Source organism: Homo sapiens, chromosome 1, assembly GCF_000001405.40.
Source record: "Homo sapiens chromosome 1, GRCh38.p14 Primary Assembly".
Taxonomy (NCBI): Eukaryota; Metazoa; Chordata; class Mammalia; order Primates; family Hominidae; genus Homo; species Homo sapiens.
The window spans coordinates 15,938,336-15,949,767 of NC_000001.11; the positions used below are offsets into that span (position 1 = coordinate 15,938,336).

The 11,432-nt window shown below is 57.8% G+C and overlaps 2 protein-coding genes across 11 annotated transcripts in view, besides 3 other annotated features; one reads left to right on the forward strand and one right to left on the reverse strand.

Annotated features, from left to right (window-relative positions):
• SPEN (spen family transcriptional repressor) overlaps window positions 1–2,121 on the forward strand; it is a 92,750-nt gene extending 90,629 nt beyond the window's left edge. The window contains exons 14-15 of the mRNA NM_015001.3: window positions 383–541; window positions 961–2,121. Coding sequence (NP_055816.2) covers window positions 383–541; window positions 961–1,092 — 291 coding nt within the window. The 3' untranslated portion in view covers window positions 1,093–2,121. The remainder of the gene's footprint in view (window positions 1–382; window positions 542–960) is intronic.
• The window catches only part of ZBTB17 (zinc finger and BTB domain containing 17), a 34,233-nt gene continuing 26,334 nt past the window's right edge, over window positions 3,534–11,432 (reverse strand). Inside the window, exons 3-16 of one of the 10 annotated variants that reach the window (NM_001287604.2) lie at window positions 9,960–10,162; window positions 8,600–8,788; window positions 7,819–7,959; window positions 7,380–7,505; window positions 6,602–6,867; window positions 6,362–6,504; window positions 5,965–6,265; window positions 5,473–5,560; window positions 5,264–5,380; window positions 5,064–5,184; window positions 4,729–4,859; window positions 4,194–4,403; window positions 3,996–4,085; window positions 3,534–3,917 (exon numbers count right to left, since the gene is read on the reverse strand). In NM_001287604.2, coding sequence (NP_001274533.1) covers window positions 3,634–3,917; window positions 3,996–4,085; window positions 4,194–4,403; window positions 4,729–4,859; window positions 5,064–5,184; window positions 5,264–5,380; window positions 5,473–5,560; window positions 5,965–6,265; window positions 6,362–6,504; window positions 6,602–6,867; window positions 7,380–7,505; window positions 7,819–7,959; window positions 8,600–8,765 — 2,184 coding nt within the window. In that variant the 5' untranslated portion in view covers window positions 8,766–8,788; window positions 9,960–10,162 and the 3' untranslated portion in view covers window positions 3,534–3,633. Of the gene's footprint in view, window positions 3,918–3,995; window positions 4,107–4,193; window positions 4,404–4,728; window positions 4,860–5,063; window positions 5,185–5,263; window positions 5,381–5,472; window positions 5,561–5,964; window positions 6,266–6,361; window positions 6,505–6,601; window positions 6,868–7,379; window positions 7,506–7,818; window positions 7,982–8,599; window positions 8,789–9,955; window positions 10,163–11,432 lie in introns of those variants that run through there. The other 9 variants (NM_003443.3, NM_001287603.2, XM_047429978.1 and 6 more) reach the window with 9 other exon arrangements.
• Window positions 3,789–4,988: an enhancer, noted in NCBI's record as "CDK7 strongly-dependent group 2 enhancer chr1:16268619-16269818 (GRCh37/hg19 assembly coordinates)". NCBI's record gives its function as "activates an origin of replication core promoter dependent on BRD2, BRD4, P300/CBP, MED14 and CDK7 cofactors, with strong dependence on CDK7, by STARR-seq in HCT116 cells {active_cell/tissue: HCT116}" and the evidence as "EXISTENCE:reporter gene assay evidence [ECO:0000049][PMID:35650434]".
• Window positions 10,190–10,299: an enhancer, noted in NCBI's record as "active region_252". NCBI's record gives its function as "activates an Ori minimal core promoter by ATAC-STARR-seq in GM12878 lymphoblastoid cells {active_cell/tissue: GM12878}" and the evidence as "EXISTENCE:reporter gene assay evidence [ECO:0000049][PMID:35858748]".
• Window positions 10,900–11,069: an enhancer, noted in NCBI's record as "active region_253". NCBI's record gives its function as "activates an Ori minimal core promoter by ATAC-STARR-seq in GM12878 lymphoblastoid cells {active_cell/tissue: GM12878}" and the evidence as "EXISTENCE:reporter gene assay evidence [ECO:0000049][PMID:35858748]".

Here is an 11,432-nt window from a genome sequence, read left to right on the forward strand (position 1 = left end):
GAACTCCTGACCTCAAGTGATCTGGCTGCCTTGGCCTCCCAAAGTGCTGGGATTACAGGCCTGAGCCACTGTGCCTGGCCAGTAACGGTATTCTTGAAGTGAGCAATGAAGGGTCCACTATGCTTCTACTTGGTGGGGGGATGTAAAGTACCTCTAGACCCAGAAACAAGGCTTTACAGTTTTTAAAAATTATTATTTTTTAAATCAGCTTTCTCAGGTTGAAAAAAAGCTTTTTTTTTTTTTTTTTTTCATTCAAATATCAGGGTAGCCTTTAAAGTCATCTCAGAGGTGGGGGTTTTTGTGGACCTGATACTGTGGGTTGGATGTGGGCTGCTGTTTGACTAGGAGGCCCCTGCTCACTGGCAGCTGGCCTCTGCCTCAGGTGGAGACAGATTACTGTCTGCTGCTGGCTCTGCCCTGTGGCCGTGACCAAGAGGATGTTGTGAGCCAGACCGAGTCCCTCAAGGCTGCCTTCATCACTTACCTGCAGGCCAAGCAGGCGGCAGGGATCATCAACGTTCCCAACCCTGGCTCCAATCAGGTCGGTTGTCCTGTGTCCTTCCTTCACATGTACACCCACAGGTGGGGCTGATCAGGGTAGGTGGGCCTACTCATCTGGTGCCCACTAGATCTGGCCCCAGAGGTGGGCAAAGGGGCATTTTGGACAGAAGTCAGTAGAGCACATGGGGCGGGGCGCCATCACCCATCCTGAAGAGAACCCAGGGAACCGCTGAGAACACAGGTTTTCCATGAGTTTAAAGATAGGGCCCCAGGGGGTTCCTGTTTATAGTTTTCTGACACCTGCTAGGTCTTCCAGTAGACATAGTCCTGGCACATTTGCTGGTTGGGGACTGATTTGGCCTGGCTCTTAGCATTGGGCCTCTTCAGGGCTCCCCAATGGAAGTGGAGTTGTGGGGGTGAAGACAGACGGTCCCACTTTGCTCTCTATCCTGTCTCCAGCCTGCCTACGTGCTGCAGATCTTCCCGCCCTGTGAGTTCTCTGAGAGTCACCTGTCCCGCCTGGCCCCTGACCTCCTTGCCAGCATCTCCAACATCTCTCCCCACCTCATGATTGTCATTGCCTCCGTGTGAGCCACTGAGTGGTTATCACCTCAGTGAATCTTCCCAGGGCTCTGCAGTAAAAACAAAGGACAACCCAGCCAAGCAGAGGAAGAAGCTGCCGAAGGGGACAGACTCCACTGCCAGACGGCCAGCCGTTTGCTGTCCTGCCGCCCGGCTCAGTCGGCCAGACTTCCTCTAGGAGTGGTGCTGCTACCTTGTATGTTTACATAATGCTTTAGCCCAAGGACACATCACCAACCCATGGACTCGCAGACACCGGGGCTGGGTTTCTCTTTCCTCTTTTTGGAGAAAAGGAACAGGGCAGTGGAATGAAAATTTTTTGTTTGTTTGTTTTTAAGAAACAAGAAAACAGAACTGCCTTTGCACTAAATTAGTGACTTGGACTTTTGCCCAGTGAAGACAGGCTGTGACACTCTGGATGTCTTGGTGTGTGTAGACACACATTGCAGACTCTTAACGCAGGAAGGACTTCAAACTTCTGCTGAGACCTTGGGGTCAAGGAACATTTCATTGGTTTTTTTTGTCCACCCCCATCTCCCTTGCTCATTTGGATGCGTCACCTTAATTCTCCTGCTGCCACCGTCTTTGATTCACCGGGATGTACAGTTTACAGTTGAAGAGCAAACAGAAAGGTTTTCTCTTGGTGGGATATGCAGAACTTGGGATGTGTGTATATATAAATATATAATATATATAAATATATATAATACTGACTTAAAAAATCAAATCCCCCGACATACGTTTTTTTTAATCTGTGCCAAAAATGTGTTTTCAGAGGAAATCTTATTTTCATATTCAGACTTTGTATTGCCCACTCATTTGTATAAGTGCGCTTCGGTACAGCACGGGTCCTGCTCCCGCGATGTGGAAGTGTCACACGGCACCTGTACAAAAAGACTGGCTAACCCCTCTTCCTATTACCTTGATCTCTTCCCCCAACTTCCTAACACTTATTAATTTATGAAACTGTTTTTCTCAGCGCAGTTTTGTTTTGTGTGTCCATTGGATTACAAACTTTATTAAAAAATATAAAACACACCAAGTGTGAGTGTGATTGTCACTTGGGTGGGAGGACGAACCATGGGTCCTTGGCTTATGGGAACAGTCAGCCCTCATCCCGCTTTTGATCCCCATGCCAAGTCTGTACATGGGAACTGTTTCCCTTCTGCCTCCTAGTCAGTCAGTCCTCCTCCCCAAGGATAATTTTATCTTGTACAAAGGAGATTTTTGTCACGGACACTGAACTTAACCATTTCTCACTCTTGTGGTGTCTTCAGAGTCCTAACTGGTTCTTAGGTAATGTGGAAGGAAGGCACTTCCAATTTTGATACAGAATATAACCACACCCCATGCCATCTCAGAAACATTTTAGCAAGCTTTGGTTTCTTGTCTCTCTCTTGCCCCCTCTTCCCTTCTCCCAGTGTGAAGCAGGCTGACTCCTGCAGAGGCAGTGGCCTCCTGGGGCCCCTGGGGGCTCATTTGATCCCGTCTCTGCCTCCAGACAGGAGAATGGGAGTTGGGGACAGGCTTCCCCTGCAGCTGGATTCTCTAGAAGCTGTGGAGTTGGGACAGGGACATGGGGACTATAAAGTTGGTGGTCTCACTTGGAATACCAATGGGCTCCTACAAATGGGCCTGTCCTGGTGTGAGAAGATAGCATCCCCCTCTGAACGGTGGGCCATAGATGCCGGGGCCACTGTGGGGGGACGAGATGGTACCTCCTGACTCCTTGCTGACAGGAGTGAGAAAGCTGTTCCACCAGCTCCCTACCTCCCCATCAAAGCCCCTGGCTGCTCCTTCCTGTCCCTCTGGGCCCCCAGCCTGGTGGCAGAGATGCCATCTTTTGAACCTTCCCAAAAGATGATGGCACCGGCTTGGCCTTAGTCCTCGGGCCAGGTAACCCTGAAGCAAGTGTGGCTTCCATCTGCTCCCTTAGGCCCATCAGAGCCAGGGCAGTGGCCTGGGCCTGGCACTCTCCTTGGCCTACCTTGCCACTCTGGCTGGAAGGACCCCTGAGCCAGGCCTGGCAGCAGTGGCCTGTGAGCCAGGCTCGCTCTGGGTTGCCTGTACCCTGGTAAGCAGTTGGTGGCCGCCCCTGCTGGTCCCTTCCCCAACTTCCCAACCTCTCCCCAACCTGGGCCGAGGGGGAGCAGGGTCATAGCTGTGGGGCGAGGGGAGGCCAGGCCCTAAAGATGAACAGGTGAGAAGCCTCCAAACAAGATGGGATGAGGGCATGGGGCACGTGGTGCCGAGGTCTCTCCAGCCTGAGTGTACTGCCCACTCCTCAACTTGGGGCAAAGCAGCCAGCCTGGCTCTGATTCTAGTCGCATTCAGCAAGAGGGACGGGCTGACCTTCCCAGGAAGGCTGGTTCCTGGGTGGTACAGCCTTTCTGTGGCATCAGTTGTAGCTGCCAGCTCCCCACCCACCCCACAGGGACCTATAGGCAGCATTAGAAAATAATCCAATTTATTCTCTCTAGGGAACAGGCCACCCTTCCCGGTTCCAGGGTGCCATCCATCCTTAAATAAACAGTCAGAAGGGCCGCCAGCTCACTCGGCAGGCGGGGGACATTCAGGAGCTGTAGGGGAGGTCTCTGCCAGTGCGGGCTGGCCCTCAGCCCCGTCGCGAGGGCGGAAGACCAGCTCCCCAGCCTGCAGCACCTGCCCGGCAGGCCACGTGCCACCTGGCCCATACTGCTGATAGAAGTCCGCGTCTGTCTGGAACATGACCAGTGCCTGGGCTGTGTGGATTCGCACATGCTGAGCCAGGCTGTTGGCATCCAGAAACTTGTCCCCACAGGAGTCACAGGCGTAGAGGATGTGAGTGTTGGGGTCTGTGGAGGTGGGGCAGCAGTCAGAGTGGGAAGGACCCCGGGCTCTGCCCACATTCACACCCGGGTGGCCCCCCTCACCTTCTTCCTGCACTTGCTTCACAGCTTTGCTGATCTCGGCCTTCAGGACTTCCGTCTCATCGGCTGTCACTGCAGCTCCCACCGGCACCACTGCGGGCAGAGTCGCAGGGCCTAAGGTGAAGGCACGGGCACTGCCCCATCATCGCCACCCTGGCAGCAAGCTGCCTGTGACTTCCCTCTGCTGCCCACAGCCCGCACCTGTGAGCTGAGTGACGGCTGTCGCTGCCAGTGCCTCGGTAGCCAGCGTGACCATGTCATCCACAGTGACCACGCTGACCTCACTGCCCTCCTCGGGCTCCAGGATCTTGATGCCTGCCTTGCCCTGGTGCACGGTCTTCACGTGGGAGCGCAGGTTGTCTACCCGGTTGAAGCCACGCCCACACTTATCACACAGGTAAGGCTTCTCTCCTGGGGGAGCAAGGTTCTCTCTTGCCTTTGTGGGAAGGGGCCGCAGGGATGGGGTGGGAGGCCCTCAATGACTCGTTTGCCCAGCAACCCTGTCTTTTACAGCAGGAGGTGCTCTGGGGTGGCTGCACGGGTGCCTCTGGTGACACTGGCACCTCTGGAAGCTCTAGGAAAATGGGGTCCTCATTTGAACAGAACTGCCTTCAAGGCCACCTGCAGCAAGAGCTAGCACCCGAGGCTGGGGTCTGGGGGGTCCCTTCCTTCCCCCTGCTCCCCACCTGGCAGCAGGGCCTGGGAAGGAACAGGCATGGTAGGGGCCACAGCTCACCAGTGTGAATGATGATGTGCTTGGACAGGTCCCCCACGTTCACGAAGGCCTTGCTGCACACGCTGCACTTGTGTGGGCGGATGTTGTCGTGGTGGCGAATATGATTGGCCAACTGGCTGGACTGGACGAATCTGTGGGGCCACAGGAAGGGACTCGCATGGAACTGCCCCAACCTGGGCCTCCTGCCTCACCCTCTAGACTGAAAAGGACCCCTAGGACCAGAGCCTGGGGCGTGGGCAGCAGTCAGCTCAGTCCCCAGCCAAGCCCCCAGTTTGTCTTCTGAGCCCCCTCACTGTGGGGTGTCTGGCCAGTGGGTGTGGGGGAGGGGGCAGGACCTCTTGCCGCAGCGCTCGCAGACGTAGGGCTTCTCCCCGGTGTGCTGGCGCACGTGGGCGATGAGGGAGCTGGCCTGGGTGAAGGCCTTACCGCACATCACACACTGGCATGGCTTCTCACCTGGGGACCGGGCAGAAGGTGTTGGTGCCTGCTCCTCTCCGTGCCCTCCCAGTCCTGGGCATGGCCGCTCACCACCCACCTGTGTGAATGCGGACGTGCCGCTGCAGAGCGCCGGGGTCTGCAAACTGTCGCTGGCAGTGGATGCACACGTAGGGCTTCTCCCCGCTGTGGATCCGAAGGTGCCGCTTCAGGTTCCCTGTGGCGAGACCGAGGGCGAACCTGGCGTGGGGCACCACCGGTGGCCGAGGAGCAGGGGTGTGAGGGCAGCCAGGGCAGCCCTGGCCCTACCTGAGGTGGTGAACTGCTTCCCACACTCTCGGCACTTGAGGGGCCCGTCAGCGATGTGGATCTTCAGGTGGGCCTTCAGGTTCCCTACCTGTGCCCAGGGAGGGGTCAGGGGGGCCACCCCACAGAGCTCGGCCCCGGGCCCCCTCACCTGCCCCTCCCACAAAGGAACAATTGACTCTCAGGCTTGCCAGGGTCCGTGAAGGGCTCTATCTCTCCTGGGTCAGGAGAGGTCCCAGGTCCCAGCGGTGAGAGGTAAGCCGCCCCACCCCATTTTTTCAGGACCAAACCCCGCCCTGAGTCGGCCTGCCCTCCGCAGAGCAACCGGGAGCTCCCCCGCGGAAGTGGCTCTCGCTGCGCCTGTTTCCTGGGTGAACAAGCTGATGAGCTCCTGGAGGCCGGGGCTGTGCTCCCCGCCCGCCCCACCACGTGGCATGCATGCGGCTGCGGCCACCGGCGGCTGCCAGGCGCTGGTTCCGGGAGGGGTCCGCACACCTGGTTGAACTTCTTGTCGCAGTGTGGGCACTTGTGCTCCTTGTCCGTGTCGTGGGTCTCCAGGTGGCGCATCTTGGAAGTGGGGTCGGAGAAGGAGCGGCCGCAGTAGTCGCACTGGTAGGGCTTCTCGCCGCTGTGCACCAGCTGGTGGCGCTTGAGGTTGCCCGAGGTGGTGAAGAGCTTGCCGCAGTCCTCGCAGCGGTAGCGCGCCTCGCCCGAGTGCCGCTTCTTGTGCAGGTTCAGCAGGCTGATGAGGCGGTAGCTCTTCCCGCACTCCTCGCAGCCGTAGGGCTTCAGAGGGCTGCAGGGCCAGAAGGCGACAGGAGGCAGGGCTCGCTGGGGCGTGAAAGGCCGGGCCTGGCAGGGGCCGGGGTAGGAGGCCGGCTTGGGGCAGTACCTGTGCGTCTTCTCATGGGCCTTGCACGCGGCCGGGTCGGAAAAGGCCTTGCTGCACTCCCGGCACGAGAAGGGCTTCTCCCCCGTGTGGATGCGGATGTGCCGCTTGAAGTTCCCCGTGTGCGTGAACTCCTTCCCACAGTCCTGTGGGTGCAGCGGGGAAGCGGGGTGTGAGGAGCAGCCGGTGGGAGGCCGGAGGGGAGGGACGCTGGCTGGGAGGGCTGGCCATAGTCTCCCTCACCTCGCACTTGTGGATGACGGAGCCGTAGGCCTTGGACTCCGTGCGGTCGCCGTAGGTGCCTGAGCGCAGGCCCCGGGCCTCGGAGCCGAGCTCCTGCCCCGAGTCTGTGCCCGCTGACTCCTCATTCTCGTTCTCCTCGGGGGCCTCTCCGTTCTCCAGCTGGGAACCCTCCTCCTTGACCTCAGCTGGCCCTGCGCCCTCCTCCTCTTGCTCCTCTTGCTCCTTTTGCTCCTCTTCCCCTTTCCGGGCGGGCTCCACCTCCATTTCTGCGGAGAAAAGGGCAAGCATGGAGGCGGCAGCCCTCTCTGCCTGAGCGCACGTGAGGGGCGCCGGCAACATGTGGAAGGGACAGTAAATGGCCCCAGCACTGGCCAAGGAAAGCCCCCGGGGGGGCCTGTGAACTGGGTATTTGCTGCTTGCGGGATGCAGGTAGGGGGCTTAGCCAGCTGGGGTGGGCGCTGTCGGCCAGCAGGCACTGGAGGGTTGCCGTGGGTGGCAAGGCACCCCTGCACGGTGCTGAAAGCCGGGAAGCAGCAGAAGCTCCAGGGCTTTGAAGGACGTGCCTGTGCTCACAGACACACGGCTAGCATGGTCAACCAAGGAACGACCTCGAGACTCAAGAACATGCGAAGACCAAGGTGTCCCAAAGCTGAAGTGCATGGTGACTCCAGGTGGGACTAGCTGGAGGCAGGAGGAGAGGGAGGCCCCAGTGCGCAGTGGAGGCAGGGCCCTGGGAGGATGCACCAGGTAGGGCCTGGTCCTGGCTGGGCGGGGCTACCTTGCTCCGAGCTCTCGGACAAAGCGGCCTCAGCTTCTGCAGCAGCCATGCCACTCGTGGGGTCTGGCTTGAGCTCCACAGGCGGCGGCTCCCGGGGCGCATCGGCTTTCTCTGTCTGCTCTGCACCTGGGTGGGGGAAGCACCGGAGGCTGGATTGCTACCCTCTGCCCAGGGGTCGGATACCTCTCCTGGACCAGCGCGCTGGTGGTGGCTGCGTGTGACCCAGGAGGGGAGGCCCCAGCACACCCCTAGCCAAGGCTGTTGTGTCTGCTCTGGTTGAAACAGACCCCCTGGAACACACAATAGGTCATTCTGGGTAACACAGGCTCAAGAGGTGCAGGTGCCCGTGCTACCTGCCCCAAGGCAGCCCTCACTACCCTGTGCCCAGGCTGCTGGGAGGTGACAGGACAGCCGGCTGGGTCCTTGGCATCTGACTCACCGCTGGCCGCACTCTGGGCCTGACCGCCGCGCTCCTCCTTGAGGTCCCTGCTGGGGCCTATGGGTGTGCTGCGTCCTGCCTGCTCCAGCCTGCTCAGCGTGCTGGTGGCCACCTTCTCCTCTTTGGCTCTCTTGTCCCCTCCTGGAGATGGAACAGGGCAGACCTGCCGTTTCCCATCAAGTGCCCGCCATCTGGAGGTGTGAGGTGGCCCAGAACTTGCTAGGTCTTCCTCGTCCTCCCTAGGGTACCTCTAAGTAGTGGTTTGCTGATTTGTTCATTCACCAAATTATTCACAGGGCACCCACTCCATGCCAGGCTGATGGCTGGGCACTGGGAATACAACAGTGATGGTTCCTGCTTGTGTGGGACATGCAGACCCCATGTGTGCACTAAGGGAGCTGATCAGAGGTCAGCACTAGGAAAGGGAGGAACGCAGCCTCTGGAAGTCTACAGCAAGGCACCTGGCCCATAGTGGGCATCTGAGGGCTTTTATCTTAGCAGCTAAGGGAAGTGGAAGGAGGGGCTCAGGAGAACAGACCCGCAGGAGGGTTTAGGAGCCTGCCCGTGTGCAAAGGCACTGAACCAGGCACGGCTCCCGGGTGCTCTGTAGGGGAAAGGCAGGCAGAGAGGCCACCCTCAGACCTGAGGCTAACCCTTGCCAGCACCCACAACCGAGGCAGGGCCAGATGAGGAAACTGAGACCCAGAAAGTCAGAGGCAGAGCCCACATCAAAAGCCAAGGTCTCTGGCCATCTGCTTGGGAGCAGCTGCCAATAACCTACCTTCTGTGGCCAAGGCCTCCGCATTTCCCCCAGGGCTGGTAGCCGGCTCAGCAAGTGACTTGAGGGCATGGCAGGCCGTGATGATGTCCTGCATTTGGAGGAAAGTGGCCACGGCCAGCACATCATCCACGTTCTCAGGGCTCAGGCTCAGCTTGGCCGTGTACATAAACTCCAGCACCTGCCCCAGGCCTACCAAGGACAGGACAGCTGTCACAGACCCACCTCAAGATCCGGCACCGGCAGCCTGCCCCACCACTCCACTCAGCAGCAGGACGCAGGGATTTAGGAACAGCTGAGTGGCAAGCCTGCATCGCCCCATCTCCTCTGTGGAGAGGAGGCAGGTAACCTGGGGGATCTCAGCACTACCAACAGCCCTTGAAAAGAAGTGCTCGCTGAGGGTCTGAATGCCTGCCCTGCACAGAGAACAAAAGGTGTGAACGCCCACCCTGCACAGAGGACAGGAGGTGTGAATGCCCACACTGCACAGGGAACAGAAGGTGCAACTGTCCGCCCTGCATGGAGGAGGATGGGCTGTGAATGCCGCCCATGCATGGAGAAAAGGAGGTGTGAATATGCACCCTGCACAGAGGACGGGGGTATAAATGCCCATCCTGCAGGGAGGACAGAGTGTGAATGCCTGCCCTGGATGAGGACAGAGGTGTGAATGCCCACCCTGCATTGAGGACGGATGTTGTGAACACCTGCCCTCCACACCCTCTTATTTGGCCGCTACACTTCACCAGTGGAGGACACTCCAACCTGACTTTCATCAGGGCTCTGCTACCAACTCTCTATCTGACTGACCTCCAGGCCAGTCACTGACCTCTTTGGGTCTCAGTTTCCACATCTATAAAATGGGAGAATAATACCTTCTCATGGCATGTCACGTCAGTCTGGGTTGGGAGTCTGAATCCAGGACCAGTTCCTTCCACAACCCCAAGGTCTTCCTGACACTGCTCCCAGCCCCTAGGCCTTCCCCATCACCTCTCCCCACGCTTCTAGTTAGCACTGGGGTAGATGCTTCAGGACTGACTCTGCCACGGAAAGGGGCCAGAGGGCATAGAGCCTGCCTACTCTCTGCCCCTCCCAATGAGGCCTTTCCTGTGTTCACTGCGGCCTAGAGCTCATCATGAGCCCTTCCTGCCCGTTCTCCCCTTACCACTCCACTACCAATCAAAACAGGCCCCCAAAAGGTGGGAGGAACTTAGTACTGAATTGCTCATGGCCTGAAGCCTGTGCGGGAGGCCTGTTGCATCCCACAGCCTGCAGGTGCTGCCCCTGGAGGGCCTAGCATGGCACAGGGCCGGCCATAGCTTCTGGCTATCAGCAAGCTCAGCCCCAGCCCTGACGGGGTACCTGCCGCGTTACTGATGTCCAGGTGCACCACGTCCTTCTGGTCCACGAAGAGCATCTTGAAGTACTCGCTGCAGGCCGCCAGCACTGCTTTATGAGCCTTAAAGTGAACACCGTCCACCACAAAGGTGCAGTCACAGAGAAGCCCCAGCTGCCGCTGCTGGTTCAGCTGTTCCAAGACATGCTGGCTGTGCTGGGGAAAGTCCATGGCTGAAGAAAGCCAAAGGGCGTTGGGGTTAGCACGGAGAAAGGACGTCAGACACGCTCAACAGTCACTCCTAAAGTCCCAGGCGAGCACCATGGAGAAGACAGAATTAAAACAAGTGAGGGCATTTCTGCCACAAAAGGGCAGTTCAGTCCAGATACCCCCTGCAAGCCAAACTCAACCAACTGGTGGCTCCTGTATTCCTGGGTTTACTGTCCAGGAAAAGTGGCCCAAACCAAAAAGCACTGGGGCACCAACACGAGGCAGCCGCCTCCGTATTCAGCCTGATAATAACATGAAAAAGCCAAAAAAGGGAACAAATACAGAACACTGAAATGTGTCATCATTTCAAAAATGAAACGACATGGTCACTTTAACATTTGTTACAAAAAGAATGCATGACAATCTCAGAATAAAGGACAGATGTTTCAATTGGACATGTTGGTCTTTAAGAAAACTTTCCTATTTTCTCATTCTCTCATGGACAGGTGAAGACAAGACGGTGTTTCATCAGCCAGTGTTGCAGAACTCGGCCCCTCTCAGGCTCTGCACGTACCCCATCCCCCGACAAAGCCTAGCTCTCCCTCTCTTTCTGATTCATGGGAACTACCTAGAGTTGCGGAGTCTTCTGACTCCAGAAACCTGTGTCCTGGTGGCCATCCCAGGAGAAACAACTTTGATCCTGACCCCAAGAGCTGCTGACCTGGCCACAACTTCTCTGTCAAGGGCCTCACTTAATGCCTGGAAATCCCACAAGTGAAAATGCTCAGGAAAATTCCATGGCCCAGTGCCGAGCAGTCTTGAACCGCACAAGCCGTGACTAAGTAACTATCTAAAACAGCTCTCCCTCCCGCCCCAACACCACCCAGAGTGGGCGTCAACATCAGCAATTGTCTAGGGAAAATAAGCGGGCCCTCTTTTCTAGAAAGAACCCATTTCAGAATGTTTGAAGAGAAAAATCAACACCCACTGTCTGGGGCCACATTAGACAGATTCAACTGGGCACGGCTGTCACGCCCTGGCCCAGGATCTGCTAAGGGGTAGTGAGTTCTCTGCCTACTCCTCCTCTTCTCTGAGGCCTGAGTCTGCACGGGGCTGGCTCCCCGGCTTCTGGGCAGGTGAGAGGGACACTTTGGGGCTCTCCGCCCCCAGTTTCGGCAGCTCTGCCCCGGCTCAGGCACTCCCCTGTGACATCAGCATCTTGGGGGGTGAATCACTGCCGCAGCTCTGAAGCTGCTGTGGCCATGCATGGCTGTCGGGCTGTGATGAGTCCGG